Source organism: Homo sapiens, chromosome 10, assembly GCF_000001405.40.
Source record: "Homo sapiens chromosome 10, GRCh38.p14 Primary Assembly".
NCBI classification, from domain to species: domain Eukaryota; kingdom Metazoa; phylum Chordata; class Mammalia; order Primates; family Hominidae; genus Homo; species Homo sapiens.
In genome coordinates, this window is record NC_000010.11 from 124,041,770 (window position 1) to 124,058,184 (window position 16,415).

A 16,415-nucleotide genomic window follows, 5' to 3' on the forward strand; every position below is an offset into this window, starting at 1 on the left:
AATGCCCAAAGGCATGAGGTTGACAGGGGCTAGGCTTTTTAAACAGCAATTAGTTATAGGCGATGTGTCAGAGCTGAGTCTATTTCAGGAGAAGCTGCCTCCGTCTTATATGGTCCCAGTGGCCAGGGATTACAAAAGCCCCAAGCAGCAAATCGATGACTAACCAGTTAACTGCACTTATAATTCCCCCATCCAAACTTATCAGATCAGTACATCAGGAAAAGAAGTCAATATCCCTGCTTAATTTCTTAAAAACAAAGAAATGGCAACTTCTCAAGAAAGCCATCAGCTGTCCTTAAGTCTCCAAAGAATTAGAAAGTCAACATTTCCACTTTATAGTAATGTTCAAGTGATGTGAACATTTTATGTAGTGGTAAGAGTGACAGCCAGGTGGAGAAGTGGAGGCTCAAAAGAAGTTTGCTGCCACCATGTAAATGTTCTGGAGGTGAAGCAGAGCTGGGCTAGGCCTGGAGCCAGAGCCAGGACCCCAGGGAGGGTGCTAGCCCTGCCAGAGTGACACAGACGCCTTACCGATAATGATTGTATTCATCTTGCTCTGCTCCTTTGCAGAGCTGGCCTGCAGTCCTTGATGGATCTGGTGTGCGGCCAGGTCAAAGAGGTCCAGATAATCTTCCACGGGATAGCGGTCTCGCAGCCCATCTCTTAGGCGGACGATTCCTATGAGAACCAAGAAGCAGGAGATACTGAGGACAAAGTTGCTACTGCTGGAGCGATGGCCTCCCAGACAGCAACCAAAGAGAGATGGAAAGGCCTAAAGGGCCTGGCGACAGCAGCAAGAGGCTCAGCCCAGGTAAGCTTCAGAAAGGGCTGCTGGGGATGGGGGTGGGGGTCTATGCGGCCTGGCTACCCACTTCAATCCATGCATGCTTCAAGGGCTGGAAGATACCACCACTAAGCTAGACAGTGGCAGATTAAAGGCTGGAACACCTACTCAAGAGCTAGAAACATGTCTGCTTGGAGGGACAAAGTCTGGGGCTGGTTAACTTGTGCACAGGTGGGACTCGTAAGTGGCTGGGCAGCGATGACACCCAGGATGCATGTGTTGTGTCAAACAGGGAGAGAGGACCGAGGGCTGCCCACAGGAGAGAGAAGGGCAGTATCCTATAAACTCCATGATGCCTTCCTCATGGGGCCCAGCCAGCACCTGCCTGATGTTCTCTCTCCTCCCCCTGTTCAATCAAATACCCTGCCCTTTGTCCAAACAGTAAGGGGAACTGATCATACTCTAGACAGACATGGATTCTGGCATCGGCCACATACAGCTTAAATTCACCCCCTGCCTGAAAAATAAATAAATTTCACTTGCAAACATTTAAAAATCCACTTCCCAACACCACAACTCCTGAAGTCAATGGAAATTGGAAAGAGAACATCCGTGGCCAAAGTAACAAGAGGTTCAAGGTGACATTGAAGACTAGATTCCAGAGGCCCGCCTCTGTTCTTCCTCCTTTCCTGCCGGTAGAAAGCTGGTTTTCATTAAGGGGAAATCACTGTGAGCCTCGGGGGAGCACCCTACAGCAAGGGAGTGTGTTCAGACACGTCCAGCAAATGCATAGGGATGTGAAACCCTGGCTCCTACAGTGGCGGCTGCTAAACCACAAAAGAAACATTTACACTTTAGCTCACTGTAGGACGAACATCAAAAGGATGAAAGCAAACGTTTGTCAGGAAACACATTAAGAGTTGGTCTAGGGAAAACTTTGAAGATTCCCTTCTAGTCAACCTGAGTCCATTACTGGAAAACACCCTCGTGGCCTGCCAGGACTCTGGTTGACAATAGGCACGTATCACCCCTCAGCTCCAGTGACCAAACCTCTCCTGGCACAAGGAAAAGGTTACAGAGAGGAAACAGTGATCTGAGGACCGCAGGGTGCATGGGGTTAAGCTGGAGCAGAGAGGGATGGGCAGTGGTCATGGTAAGCCTGCGGCAAAGGGCTGAGAGCAAGGCCTCCAGAATGATCTCCATGTGGTTATCATATGGAACCCATAAGGCAGATGGGGCAGGTCAGAGAAGCTGAGGCCTGAAGCAACTCAGTCTCCCCCAGGTGCAGTGACTGCAGCTGGAACAGCACATAGCTGAGAACAGCACAGAGCAGAGGAACAGCACAGAGCAGGGGAACAGCACAGAGCAGGGGAACAGCACAGAGCAGGGGAACAGCACAGAGCAGGGAGCAGCACAGAGCAGGGAGCAGCACAGAGCAGAGGAACAGCACAGAGCAGGGAGCAGCACAGAGCAGGGAGCAGCACAGAGCCAAGGAACAGCACAGAGCAGGGGAACAACACAGAGCAGGGAGCGGCACAGAGCAGGGAACGGCACAGAGCAGAGGAACGGCACAGAGCAGAGGACCGGCACAGAGCAGGAAACGGCACAGAGCTTGGGAGCGGCACAGAGCTTGGGAGCGGCACAGAGCTGGGAGCGGCACAGAGCAGGGAATAGCACAGAGCTGGGAGCCAAGAGCCCGGATCACGCCCTTCTTGCTGGCCCTTACTGGCCACTGGCACTTACTGCTGACTGCTCGGGTCATGTGCCCGGGCTTTCGGAACAAGAAGAGCTGCCAGTTCTGACTCGTCCCCGTGTCCTGCACACAGCTGGCAATCAATGCTCACTGCATGGCTGGGAACCGAGTTCCAGACCCTGCTGGGTCTTTGCCTGGGAACAGCCTCCTAACAAGGGAATTGTGCCATCTCTTTCTGCCGCCCTCGCCCCCCAACCCCAGCGCTAACGTTGCGGGAGGAATGAACGAATGAAGGAACGAGACCAGACAGGAGCCCTGGGACCCAGCACTCACCAAAGCGCTTCCGGGTCCACCAGTGTGGCTCCTTGATGGCGGAGAACTTGACCTCAGGGTGCAGCCGCAGGCGGTCATAGAGGTCTGTGGTCCCGCACTTGGGCTGCCCTATGATGTAGAAGTGCGGCAGGCAGCGCAGGCGGAAGTGCTTCCCGTGCGCGTGCGCCAGGTGGCCCCAGAAGGCCTTGCGCAGGGCGTCGAAGGTGGAGCGGAAGCGCTTGGAGTAGAGCACGTAGGAGTTGGTGAGGTAGGGGTCGGTGGTGTTCTGCCCCGAGAACTCCTCGTACCAACAGGGGCTCTTACTGTTTGGAAGGAATTTGTTGGGGATGACTGAAAACATCTGCAAGGAAACAGAGGAGGAGAGACACAGAGGAGGGGAAAATGAGCAAAGACACAATCTAACCGCAATGGGAACCTGCCCTGAGACTGACGACCGTGTTCAAATTTGAACTAATATTTGACAATGATTAACAAATAAAGCAAAACTTGGTAGACGGTCAATGACTGTGCTTTCCTCTCCCCCGCCGCCCCACAAAAAAAAAAAAAAAAAAAAAAAAAAAAAAAACTTGGAGAGAATAAAGATAAAAGTTTAATTAAAATCCATTCTACCATAATTTACCTTTCTGACACTTACACAACACACACGCACACACGGTAATTAAGCAGAATCTTTTTACTAGTTGTATATTTAAATTGCCGTTAGAGATTAAAATGTAGAATAGAAGCAGAAAATCAAATTTAACGCAACTTTAAAATCCCAAATGATGGTGATCTGCAAAAGCAACTGTTAACTACCACGACCACATATCAAGCAAGAAGTCCTGGAATGCAATAATGAGAGCCAGCGGCCCTTGAACATGCCTAGCCCAGCGTTCAGGACAGCAGATTCCCTTCCTGGCACTCCATAGCGTAAGCAAACAGCACTCTCTCAGTGCATTCAAATCCATAAGGCTGTCAAATGATCCTTGCTACATCTAAGACATTTTTTAGTCATTTTCCTTCTGTGTTCCCAAAGATGGTGATAGAAAGAAAAGCACTCATTTCTAAAAATCAACCAATCAGTCAAGATTAGCACAAAGCTACTCACATGCAACTCCTGCTTCTTAAGGTCTTCTAAGTCTGGGAGCTGTCTGGTCGTGAACTCAATCCTAGTTGTGATGCTGTTGATAATTAATTTAATGCTTGGATAGTCCTTCATGTATGAAATATTATTTACAGAGGATTGGTGGTGATGCTCCTTTGTGTCACTTGGGTTTTCGCTGTCCATCAAGCTGGGGTTGCTGGGGAAGCCTCCGTAATGGAAAGGTGATGAGATCAGAAGCTCTTGGTGGGCCCCAGAAAGGATGTAAGAAGCCATTACCAAGGTCATTATTATCAGTCCAAAAACGAGGCTACATCGCTTCCCCTTTTTGAAGCGCAAAAACCCACCCCAGTTTTCGTTCCCTTCAGTCCTCACTTCGAGAACAGCAAGCAAGTTCATCTGCTTACTGTCCACACGAAACAGAATTTTGTTTTCTCCTTTGCACGTGGGGCACGCCTGGTGACCGTGATGGGGGCCCCCTTGGCAGTTGACCTGCTGCTTGTGTGCGCCGTCGGGTAACAGCTGTATGCAGCAATTAATGCAGTGCCTCATGGTAGTGCCAGTGCCCTGGGCTGCTGGCTTACCGAGCCATGGGTGGGCCCCCCACGAGTCTGGATGTCCGCAAGTCGTGCTAGAAAACCTTAAGAATGCCTTGTGATCACAGAAGATGGATGGAAAGCACAAATACAAAAATAAGCAGACACCACAGCACTAGAGAAAGAGGGTGCACATTCTTTGGTTCAGCTCCGAAAGAAAACAAAAGGAAGTGATGTCCCAGAGTCATGTTCTACAAGAGCCGCTGCAACCTCAGAGAAGGTCACAAGTTCGGGAGCAGCTCTGCCTGCCCTTCAGGTTTTTCCCATGGCACAAAAAAAGGTGGAAGAATTCTCACTGGGGAATGTGGAAACACACAGAAAATTAAAAGAAATCATGGTCTTCTCATTGATGGATGGATTGCCATGCCATCCACGGAGGCATCTGTGAAGATCTCCCCTTTTACATCCTGAGTACCTTTGGAATATTTCCTCTTTGTGGGGCGCAAACTTTAAAAAATGCCAGATTTCCTACACAGAAAGACAAGAAGCTTTATTACATTGTGTGGTAATAGCAATAACCCAAAGCTCATCCTCCAAGGAGAGACAGATGCTCACTCTCTTTTCCACCTCTAAGTCCAGCCAAGCCAGCCTGGTTCTAAGCAAGTCATAGAAAATCGCGAGCATAAAGGAAGAGGTTTCAGGTTCTTGCAGCTGGCTTTGGGGCTCAATTTCTGCCACCAAACATGGCCCCAATCCCAGCACCACCAGCGCCACATCAAACGTCTCACATTGTGCATAGTCTACATCTCCCCTAATCCCTCTGCCTTGATACTTCTCAGGTACAGGATCTCTGAATCCCAGGATGTTGTGATCATTCTCAGAGTCATGCACAGTCAATGACTACAAATTTGAGGGATGGATTGAAATATCAGTGCTTTTCAGTCAATGAAAAATCTCAAGAATACTAAGGAGGATGGTTAGAAAGGGAGCAGGCAGAGAAAATGTGTTTTTTCCCTCTCACTGGCATCAGCAGTCTCTTTCTTAGAGTTAACCTTTATTATCAGATTAGGAAGCAAAAGTTAATGAAAATTTAGAAACAATGAAATGAGTCTCTCCTTCAGTAGAATGTATCATATTAAAAAACTACTTGACTTTAAGTTATTAAGCAATTAAATCCAATGTATAGGATTCCCTCGAGTGACACAGAGCTTCAGAACCTGACATAATTTTTCACTTTCATCATCTCGAGCAAGATATGATTCTTAAAAACCCATTAATAGAATCCTGTGGTTATAAAATATATTGTTGCCCAAATGACACTTCTTTGTAGATGTCGTAGAAAGAGCCATGGATAAGCATAAAAGGAGACCTACTCAGTTTCTAGCAGTGGTAGATCACCACTAATTGGCTGTGTGACCCTGAGCAAGCCACATAACCTCTCTGAGCTTTGGTTTCCTCAATAGTAAAATTAGGATAATAAGGACACCTTAACAGGTGCTAAATTAGCTACTACATGTAAACAGTTTGAATAATGCCTGCCACATATTTAGCATACCATAAAAGGTAGACAGCATTGATAATAATAGCATCATCAACTATTATGATGATGATTTTTCATTGTCAGTGAATGCCAAAAACATTTGAAATGGAATCAAAGATGAGAGATCCTATACCACATGATTATTCTTTAGCAATTGAAAATTACCCAAGAGTGGTAGACTCATCTCCAACTCTACCCACGCCACCCCTCAAACAACCCTCACTGTCTCCATAGAGGCAGCATTAACTAACCGCGCATCAAGATCGCCATGTACTGGCTGAAGGATTAAACAATCAGAACTCAACAGAAGAAATGTTCATGCCCCTTGGACTGAAAACTTCATGTTTTCTCAAAATATGGTGGCCAAGAAACAGCCAAGCTGTGTTTCCCAAAATGTCTTCCTCCCACAAAATGTTCTGCTTGCCGTTGGTGAGTGTTCTGTGCTTAAATTATTTGGAGAAAATGTGGAATGGACAAAATTACACAGAATTCTTTACAGCTGAACTTTTCAGGGCCTTTGATATGCTAATAAGCCCTGTGAATCCACAAGAGAGGAATATAATACACAAAGTTGGAAGTACCTAATTGGCCAAGGAATCTCACTAGGGTATCAAGGAGCCAGTTTGAGAAAGGCTGGTCAGTAGAGGCTGAGACCTGAGTCCTGCAGAGGCGCTGGGGCGGGGATGCAGAAGGGGCCAGTTCTGGGAAGCCAGGCCAGACATCTCAGGCCCTACCCCCATCTCTTATCCCTGAGGGCAGCTGGAGGGACATGTCAGAAACCTCAAGGATCAACCTCTGCTTCAAACTTGCTCAACCACCCCTGACCCATCGCTTGCTACAAACAATTCTTCCAAACTAAAGAAACAAAAGGGCAAGATCCCCTACTTGGAAACTCCATCATTAAAGCCAAGAAAACATTTTTTCACATGTCCAAGACAGGGCCAAGCCGGGGTTAAAAATGAGACTCCAACCAGCAGCTCAGCGGGGAGGGAATTCGCACCCTCCTGTCTTTCTGCTGCAGAAAATCGAATTAGATTCTTTAAAAAGCAAACAAAACACGGACTTTGAAGCTCCAAGATAGGAATGTACATAATCTGGACCCAAACGAATGGGCAAAACATTCCTAAACAAGGGCAGGGGCAGCTCATTTCAAGCAAAGTAAAAACATGAGCAGCCGACAGTCTCAACAGAGAGGAGGGAAGATGGGGTGCCCGGACCGGGTCCACAGAGCATGTCTGCGGGGCAGCTGCCCCCACCAACCAGCCCGGCCTCTGCGAGTCCCGCTTCCTAAACAGAAAGACCTGAGGAGGCAATTCGAGATGCTGCAAGAGCCTTAGCAAAACACTCAGATACAGTGTTTTCTCAGCTCCTAGCATTCTTTCATTCATTCATTCATTTGTTCAACAAATACCTTTTGAAGAACAGCTGAGTGTTGCGCATGTCCAGGTAGGGGGAGACCAAAAGCCAATACAAGATGAGGGATGTGATGTGGAAATAAGAGATGAGTATTTGGTCTCTATCCTCGGGTACTGGTACACAGGTGCTAAAATCCTTGGAATTTTTCTGAATGATGGGGTGAGAGAAGCACCTTTCGTCATTCATGACAAGCCCCTTTCAGCCATACCTGAGTGTATCCTGATGCGGTGACACTTTGCGGGCCAGGATAGCTCCAGGATGGAGGCTGGTCACCAGAAAGACCAAGCCTCAGTGAGCAGCTTTCAACAAACCCCCCAAACTCCGGGTAGGGAATAAGGGCTGCAGATTAAGTCAATCACCAGTGGCTGATGATTTAACCAATCAGGCCTTTGTAATGGAACCGCCATCAAAACCCTTAAACCACAGGGCTCAGGCAGCTTCCAGGTTGGTGGATCCTTCGAGGTGCTGGGAGGGTGGAGTGGAGGAAGAGGGCATGGAAGCTCCACACACCCTCCTCCACCATACCTCGCCCCATGCGTCTCATCTGCTGGCTGTTTCTGCATTCTATGCTATAATAGACTGATGATGAGTCAAGCACTCTCCTGAGTTCTGTGAGTCATTCTAGTGAATTACTGAACCTGAGGAGGTTGTGGGACACTCTTGCCTTTTTAGCCAATTTGGACAGATGTGCGGGTAACCTGGGGACCCAATACTTGGGACTGGCATCTGAAGTGGGGCAGTCTGGTGAGACCGAGCCCTCAAACCGGTAGAGTCTGAGGCTGCCTCTGGTAGGGGCAGACTTGAATTGAATGGTAAGATAATCAGTTAGGTTCTGGAGTTGGAGGATTTGCTGGTGTTGGAAAATACCCCTGGGCTGCGGTGGGCGTGGGGGTGGGGGCCTCTCTGAGAAAAAAACATAAAACTGTCTTACATTTACAAGTTTTTACCAAAATCGATAGCCACTGTATAGTATGTCAAATACTCAGTAAGATGGACAAGCAATCTGAAGACCAGGTGAGTCCCTTGTAAGTGAAGGCCCTAGAGCCCGGCGGCTTCCAGACAAGACCTCCCCTGACGGGCGCGAGTGGTGCAGGGCTGACCCAGAGAGGAGGCCTGTTCCCAAGTGGAGCTTCTGTCCCACCAGGGGTAGGGGCTGCAGGGCACAAGCTATAAAGAAGTCCCAAATGAATAAGATAATCACAGATGCTGCTAGATAAAGGCTATGCAGAAAAGAATAAAGAAAAGGGGGAGAGAGCAATACAACCATTGGAACAGGGTTTTGGAATTCTTTGTGCCGTCCTAGGGCTGGCCCATGCTTTGTTGTCAGGGCTGTCCCGCGCACAGTAGGATGCTTAGCAGCACCCTGGCCCCCACCCACTGGATGCCATAGCACCCCTTCCCCTGACATGTCACAACCAAAAATGTCTCCAGGCATTGTCAGTGCCCCCTGGGGTGCATAATCACCCCTGGGTTGGAGCTACTGCCTTAAAGAAGTGGGAGGTATGATACACAGGGTGACAGGGAAGACCTGATTTCAGAGGGGACGTTGGAGGAGAAACCTGAACAAGAAGGAAGCCAGTCACGTGGAGACCAGGGGAAGCAAAGGCCCCGTAGAGAGACGCTGTGGGGAGTCCCAGCCCATGAGGGCTACTGGCAGGGTAGGCCCTGGGGCACAGGCTGGTGGGGGTGGAAACCTGATGGGAGAGGAGGCAGGGACCAGGCTCTGTAGAGTCTTGAAGGCCAAAGTCAGGGGTGGGATTTGCTCGAGTGCAAGAAGGAAGGCATACTACATATTCTTTTTTTTGTTTTGAGATGGAATCTCACTCTGTGGCCCAGGCTGGAGTGTAGCAGCACGATCTTGGCTCACTGCAACCTCCGCCTCCTGGGTTCAAGCGATTCTCCTGTCTCAGCCTCCCGAGTACTGAGATTACAGGCATGCATCACTGCGCCCGGCTAATTTTTGCATTTTTAATAGAGACGGAGTTTCACCATGTTGGCCAGGCTAGTCTCGAACTCTTGGCCTCAAGTGATCCAGCCCGCCTTGGCCTCCCAAAGTGCTGGGATTACAGGCATGAGGCACCACGCCTGGCCTCAAAAGAATTTTTACTATGTATAGTAAATATACATAGTAAAATATGTATAGAATAGTTTACTATGTATAACTATTAAAGAACATAACTCAGGGAAGAAAAATCCAATTAATGGGGTGGTATTGAAAGGAAAATGGATTGCTGTTACGTTCTGTATCTGGCCTTTTCCGTAGGCCACAAATTATCCCAAGAACAGTCATTCAGAAACCTAACACTCAAGTGGTTCTTCCTTCAGAAAGGAGTCATGTATGCCCCCTGCACTTCACCTGTCTGGAATGTCCACATTTGGTGCCGGTCGACTCAGACAAGACGGGGCCCTTGGCACTTCCGTTCATGTATTAAACCAAAGGATTCAGGTATACATTTCAGTGAGATTGCTTCCCACCTGGGCTCAATTCTGAGCCTGATGGCTGCAGACCATCACTGTGGGAACCTGGCACCAGGAGAGAAATCAGATAACGGGTCCCAAAATAGAAAGTGTTCAATTACCCAGCCCTTGCTTGGACACCCCCTATTAACCTATGCACCCAAGCATCATTAGCAAGCCATTTATAACAAAATTGTAATTGAGAGACCCAGAAATACCACTTTAGATTAAGTAATTGAATGCCCCCTCAGTGTAAGATCGATAAAGGGCATCCAATTTCACCCTAGGAAAAACTTATTAAATTATTGTAGCTATAAGCTGATATAGCAGAAGAAAGATGTATGAAACTTCAGAAGAAATCTGGATGGATTTAAACAAATAGCTTCATTTAGGTAGAACATTTACATTTGCCCTCTGGGGACAGAGAGGGAAAAAAATAGCTAATTACATTATTTTTCTTTTATGTTTTAAGGAAAAAAAATTCAATGGGTCTTAATTAACCTTTACTAAAACACAAAGCCTTCTTCTGATTAGTATGTGTAACTGCTGACATTCCTCTCTAGGCTATATATATGGAAATATATTTTTTCAAGGACTATTCATCAACAAGTAGGAGAAGGAACATTTTTCACATGTAGCTCTAAGATAGAAGGTTGTTGCTGAGACTGAGAAGAAAGCCAACAAGACTGAAGAGTTCTGTACAAATTATAAATCATCAGATTCAGTCTTCTATCTGGACTTCGACAGTTTTGATCACATCCCAGTCAATAAGCAGAATAAAGCCACACCACTCCGTCAACATTCACTGGCCCATAGCACAGCGGAGAGGACACAGCAGTCACATGGATTAGGATTCCAAGTCCATGTCCACCCAGCGGCCTTGGACAAATCACTTAAGGTTTCTGGGCCTCTGTATTTTTCAAAAGAAGTCCCCGCTAGCAACAGATCACGTACAGCACTGGAGTTAAGAGCCCGAGTGCTGGAGCCAGGTTGCCCAGGTTTGATCTTGAACAAGATATTAAACGTCTCTTCTCCCCATTTCTTTGGATACGACTTAGGAATAATCACAGGACCTGTATCATGGCAGTGCTGTAAGCATTCAGTGAACTCATTCATGTAAGGTGCTTAAAAGAGTGTCTAGCCCGGCCGGGCGCGGTGGCTCATGCCTGTAATCCTAGCACTTTGGGAGTCTGAGGCGGGCAAATCACAAGGTCAGGAGTTCGACACCAGCCTGACCAACATGATGAAACCCAATCTCTACTAAAAATAAAAAATTTGTCAGGATTGGTGGCGCACACCTGTAATCCACACTACTCAGGAGGCTGAGACAGGAGAATCATTTGAATCCAGGAGGCAGAGGTTGCAGTGAGCCAAGATGGCACCACTGCACTCCAGCTTGGGCAACAGATCAAGAGTCTGCCAAAAAAAAAGAGTCTCTGGCCCATAGTCAGTGCTCAATAAATGTTAGCTGGTATTACAGATGCACAGTCCTGGCCCACAATGGGAATTTGATAGTCATTTATTACTCTTTACCATAGATTGCATTATTGGTCTCAATTTTTTCTTCTTCCCATGTTCACATTCTTTGCCACTTTGGAGGGCCTTCAGCTACAGGAGTGACGTATTTCTCCACCCTTCGGTTTGAGTTGGGTGGCTCACTTTGGCCAGCAGAATGAGGCAGAAGTGGGCTTAAAGCTGGCACGTGCCAGGCCCTAAGACATGTCCTGTGTACTCATTTGTCCTCTTGCACACTTGCTTGGCCAGGAGGAGGGGGAGACAGGTGGAGCAGGGCCACCTGGCTGAGCCCACCCAGAGCAGCCAATACCCGCTGGATCCCAGCCAATTCCTAAAGACACCAGAGACATAATAAAGGGTTGATTTTTCTTTTCTTTTTTTTTTTTCAAGACAGAGTCTCACTCTGTTGCTCAGGCTGGAGCGCAGTGGTGTGATCTCTACTCACTGCAACCTCTGCCTCCCAGAGGTTGGCTACCACCAGCAGCCGATAGGCCAATGTAATGATGGAAACTCAGAGGGGAGGCTGGGCGCAGTGGCTCACACCTGTCATCCCAGCACTAGGCAGGCGGATGACTCAAGCCCAGGGTCATCTAGACCAGCTTGGGCAACATGGCAAAACCCTGTCTCCACAAAAAATACAAAAATTAGCTGGGTGTGGTGGTGCACACCTGTAGTCCCAGCTACTTGGAAGGCTGAGGTGGGAGGATTGCTTGAGCCTGGGGAGGTTGAGGCTACGGTGAGTTGTGATCACACCACTGCACTCCAGCCTGTGCAACAGAGTGAGACCCTCTCTCAAAAACCAACAAACAAACAAAAAGAAACTCGGAAGGGAGCTGTTCCTGAATCAAGACACAATGGCTGAAACATCAGAAAATAACACACCAGGTTATTTTCTGACAAAATGTGTTTATGACAACCACAGCTGTTTTGTTTTAGTTATCCACTGCCCCACACTCCCCCACCTCCTGATGAAGAGGCCTTCCTCCTTGCCTCTTTTCAGTTACTAATTTCTTCCTTGCTTCCTTCCTCTCCCTGAGCAAGCCCTTCCTGTAATCTGATCCTTACGGTTTCCTTGCCAGATTTCATCCTTCCTGATGACTGGGACACATCACCCGTGCTTTGTCTAAAACAGGTATTCTCAAACCACAACCTGAGGGATCTTCCTGGCTGGCCCAAAATCTGTGCATACAAAACCCAGGCAGTTTTTTAAGCTTATTTTTAAAGCACACTTGACTCTCTGTTAAGTTCGTCATCAACATTGGTTTTGGTTAATCACAACTACCTTACATGCATACAACGTACATTCAATGCTATTGTTTTAGTCCATAAGCCATATCCATAATAAACAGGCATTTCCCCAAGATCAGATCTCTACAATATGCAGCCAGCGCCTCCCCTGCGTCCTGAGCTCACTGATTCTCAACTTGGTAGAAAGATGGGATGTAGGAAAAATGGTTTCCAAGCAGTCGAAAATAAGACATTATGCCAGGCTTGGGAGTTGGGCAGACCTGCATTTCAACCCGAATCAAGTCTGTAACTGCTCTATGATCTCAGGCAACGAATTTAACCATTCTGTGACTAGGTTTCCTCATCTGTAAAATGGGAATAAAATGATCTCAGTCTCCTACTGTGGATGTGAGGAAGAAATGAGGTCACATACACAAAATGCTTAACCCAGAGTCTAGTACCCCGCACACCGTGGAAGGATGAGCCATCCCAAAACATGCCAAATTGATATGTTGATTATTTTGAGTCGAAAACATTGGAGAAATTATAGTTTCAGAAAGGGCCAGCTGACCTGTCTCTTCCTGCATACTCCAAGCCATAGACTCCTCTGGGAGGAGTACCCTTCCCCTGCCAGGCCAAGAAAATGGCCCTCCTCAGCACAGCCTGGGAACTTGGGGCTGCAATGACCCAGGATAAATACACTTCACAAAGTAACCCTTCTCTTCCACTGCCGTTACACATCCCATAGATCTCCCAGAGACTCCCCTAGAAATGTATATTACTCCACCAGGTCCCTTCTGTTCTGTCTCTTCTGAAATGGATTGTTCTTTGTCTAAAAGGTCTAAAAACATCTTGCTTTGGCCACTCCTTCAAACTTCACTCTCTCGTGAAGATTCCTAGGTCCAGGTAAAACTAACAAAGTGTGTTTGCTTCCCTTTTGTTTGTCTGCCTGGTGTCAAGTTGGCTTCTAGATGCAGTTCAGGAGCCCACGTAAGAGCTCACAAGGAGGGGGTTGGAGGTGATCTCTGGCTCCCCTGCCTCTCGGTAAATGACCCGGATTCCTTGCATTATTACTGGAGAGACCCTTGGGTCCTCACTCCAGGGTTACTTGCTTTCAGTGTGCATATATTATAATTCCAGACACCGGTGTCCAATTTTCCTGTCTGCCACTTATCTGAGGGGATGCCCTGGAAAAGGCAGGTGGCCACACAGATGCAGGAAGTAACACCCAAGTTCTACAGTAGAACAAGGTACTAAAAAGCTGAGCTGGCCAGGATCATTCGGGCACCCCTGTCACCAGGGCCCGTAGCTCTGGCGAGCCTGGCGCAGCTGTGGGGAAAATTCTGGAAAAGCTCACCCCCCTCCAAATGACCATGCTCATCCAGAACTTGTTTCAGTGCTCAACAACAAGGGCCAACTTTCCAGAAACGCACCCATCCCCAAAGATCCAGGGTAAACCAGCCACTGCTGTACAGATGGGAAATGCAAGACAGTGAAGCTCCTGGGATCCCTGAGGATTCTACTGCAGTCATTCACAGTAAGAAACACCCGGAACCCCTCAACAATGATGGTGGGTACACTCAGACCCAGGGCAAAACCCAGGTGGGCTCCAGCAAATCATCAGCTTGCCAGTACAAACCTGCGGGTACCTGCATCCAGCCTGCCTTTTATAGAGGAGAAACCAAGGCCAGTGTGGTCTGTACTTCCCCAAGGACATGCAGCCCATTATAGAAAGATGGGTCAAGAGGCCTCAGGAGCCTGACACTCAGTCTTCCACCATCCCTCAAGAGGGAGCCCATCCTAACCTCTACCCCACCACCCAGGCCTGGCCTCAGACAGTCCAGCGGCTTCTCCAGGCCCTTGGTGCCCTTCCCCCTTCCAATCTTTTGAGGAATCCCTTCCGAGAATACAGATTTGCAGTCTCACCCAGAGACACAGGACAGGAAGGTGAGGGAAGCATCCCAGGAGGCAGCTGATGGGATGAAACTCCCCTACCTCCTTCAATCTCCTTTGAATGCCCTGTCGGCCTGGGGCATTGAGTCTTAACCTGTCTCAATTCAGACTCTATTCATCACTCAGGCTTGTCTCCTGCAGCCAGGAAAGTGTGCTAGGAGACAGGTACAGCTCCAGGACAGAGACAAGGGATGGGGGAACGGAGATGTGTAGAGGCTGGCCTGGTGCCAAGTGTGGGGACAGGGGAAGGAAGGACAGAAAGAAAGGCGGGCAGGGGCAGGGGAGGAAGGAGAGGCGGGGCTGTCCCTTGTCAGTTACCTTTGCAGCTGAGACAATGGACAGGAATGGAACTGGCCCCATGCACAGGAGGCAGGCCCCGGTGCGCAGCCCCCAACTCCTATTTTGTCCCCGCACATCAAAGAAGCCTGGGCTGTGTGCAGTTGGACACGCTGCGGCCCAGGCCCGTACGACCGGACACTCCGCGGCCCAGGCCCGTACAACCGGACACTCCACGGCCCAGGCCTATACGACCGGACACACTTTGACCCAGCCCTGCCTGTACGACCGGACACTCTGCGGCCCAGGCCTGTACGACCGGACACATTGCAGCCTGGGCCCGTACGACCGGACACTCTGAGGCCCAGGCCTGTACGACCGGACACACTTTGACCCAGGCCTGCCTGTATGACCGGACACGCTGCGGCCCAGGTGGTGGCTTCCATGATAATTTGCATTTTAAAACTTCAGAGCAGCAAAGGAGGGACCTTCCCAGCAAGGCAGGGAGCTACTTGGTGTCCTGATCACTAACCTGGCTGGTCACCCTGAGCATCACTTCATCTCTCAGGGCCTCTGTTTCTCCGTATATAAGATATGGATTTGGGACTACCCCTTTTGGCCATAACACTCATGGGTGTATGATCTGAAGTTAATTTCTCCTTAATACAAACTCATTATCTTCATCTGTTATGTCTTTCAGGGCTGCTCAGAGGCCAGTGATTTTGCAGTGAGCGTTGACTAGCCGGCGCAGCGCTTGCTTTATTAGCCAGATAATTAATCCAAAAGAGACACAGGGTTTTCTCCAGATTAGTGGCCCACGCACTTTTGCACCTCTTTATTTAAACACCTACTATGTGCAGGGCTTGCATTTGCTGGGGCTCCAAAGACAAAGACCGCAGCGTGTCCAGTCGTACAGGCCTGGGCTGCAGCGTGTCCGTTCGTACAGACAAATAAATGAACAGCCTGGGTCCTCTGGGAACATCCCATCTAACGCCAGAACAAAGACTCCAGAGGCTCCAGAAAAATGCCCACATTCGGGACTGTATATCCCATTTCAAGGACAGCCGTGAAGCCCACCCAGCCCCAGAGAATCTGCAGAAGAACTAGCTCTGCTCCAGGAAGCCAAACAAGCGTGGTAACAACAGCAGTGATTCAGTGAACCAGGGCCTCTGGCCGTGGCAGGCAGGAGGGAGAATGGGGTCTTTTTCCTATTCTGTGATAGCTTGCTCTCTAATAGGGTAATCAGCTCCACCTCCCTTGTGCAACCACCCGAGATATGGGCCAAACACAGCAGATGTCCCAGTCTCTCTGAAATGCACAAAATAATCAGGTTTTCTCAGCGAAGGGGCAGGGTGGACCAGAGACTTCAAATATGTTCATGCTGCAGTTCTCCCCCCCAATGATTTCAATGTGCACAAAAGACTCTAAAGGTCTTTGTGACACAATCAATAATTTTTTCTGAAACCAAGTGGAGAGAAAAACTATTTCAGAGTGCTCATTTTATTATTTCCAGTAGTAAATCACACCAGTGTAGGGACTAGATTTTCTCATGCTTGTATATCTACTGACTCCGGTTTTCCAATAAGGCAGAGGCCACTCAAGAG

The 16,415-nt window shown here is 48.4% G+C and overlaps 1 protein-coding gene across 22 annotated transcripts in view, besides 5 other annotated features; it reads right to left on the reverse strand.

The window, feature by feature from the left end:
• The window catches only part of CHST15 (carbohydrate sulfotransferase 15), an 85,931-nt gene that overhangs the window by 34,102 nt on the left and 35,414 nt on the right, over nucleotides 1-16,415 (reverse strand). For all 22 annotated transcript variants that reach the window (NM_001270764.2, XM_047425324.1, XM_047425327.1 and 19 more), the window contains 3 exons: nucleotides 3,898-4,955; nucleotides 2,811-3,150; nucleotides 532-678 (listed from right to left, as the gene is read on the reverse strand). In NM_001270764.2, coding sequence (NP_001257693.1) covers nucleotides 532-678; nucleotides 2,811-3,150; nucleotides 3,898-4,443 — 1,033 coding nt within the window. In that variant the 5' untranslated portion in view covers nucleotides 4,444-4,955. The remainder of the gene's footprint in view (nucleotides 1-531; nucleotides 679-2,810; nucleotides 3,151-3,897; nucleotides 4,956-16,415) is intronic.
• Nucleotides 1,466-1,705: an enhancer, noted in NCBI's record as "active region_4162". NCBI's record gives its function as "activates an Ori minimal core promoter by ATAC-STARR-seq in GM12878 lymphoblastoid cells {active_cell/tissue: GM12878}" and the evidence as "EXISTENCE:reporter gene assay evidence [ECO:0000049][PMID:35858748]".
• Nucleotides 6,691-7,191: an enhancer, noted in NCBI's record as "H3K4me1 hESC enhancer chr10:125807976-125808476 (GRCh37/hg19 assembly coordinates)". NCBI's record gives its function as "activates a minimal SCP1, AML or CMV promoter by ChIP-STARR-seq in primed H9 embryonic stem cells {active_cell/tissue: H9 hESC(primed)}" and the evidence as "EXISTENCE:reporter gene assay evidence [ECO:0000049][PMID:30033119]".
• Nucleotides 7,192-7,692: an enhancer, noted in NCBI's record as "H3K4me1 hESC enhancer chr10:125808477-125808977 (GRCh37/hg19 assembly coordinates)". NCBI's record gives its function as "activates a minimal SCP1, AML or CMV promoter by ChIP-STARR-seq in primed H9 embryonic stem cells {active_cell/tissue: H9 hESC(primed)}" and the evidence as "EXISTENCE:reporter gene assay evidence [ECO:0000049][PMID:30033119]".
• Nucleotides 8,734-9,234: an enhancer, noted in NCBI's record as "H3K4me1 hESC enhancer chr10:125810019-125810519 (GRCh37/hg19 assembly coordinates)". NCBI's record gives its function as "activates a minimal SCP1, AML or CMV promoter by ChIP-STARR-seq in primed H9 embryonic stem cells {active_cell/tissue: H9 hESC(primed)}" and the evidence as "EXISTENCE:reporter gene assay evidence [ECO:0000049][PMID:30033119]".
• Nucleotides 15,049-15,577: an enhancer, noted in NCBI's record as "H3K4me1 hESC enhancer chr10:125816334-125816862 (GRCh37/hg19 assembly coordinates)". NCBI's record gives its function as "activates a minimal SCP1, AML or CMV promoter by ChIP-STARR-seq in primed H9 embryonic stem cells {active_cell/tissue: H9 hESC(primed)}" and the evidence as "EXISTENCE:reporter gene assay evidence [ECO:0000049][PMID:30033119]".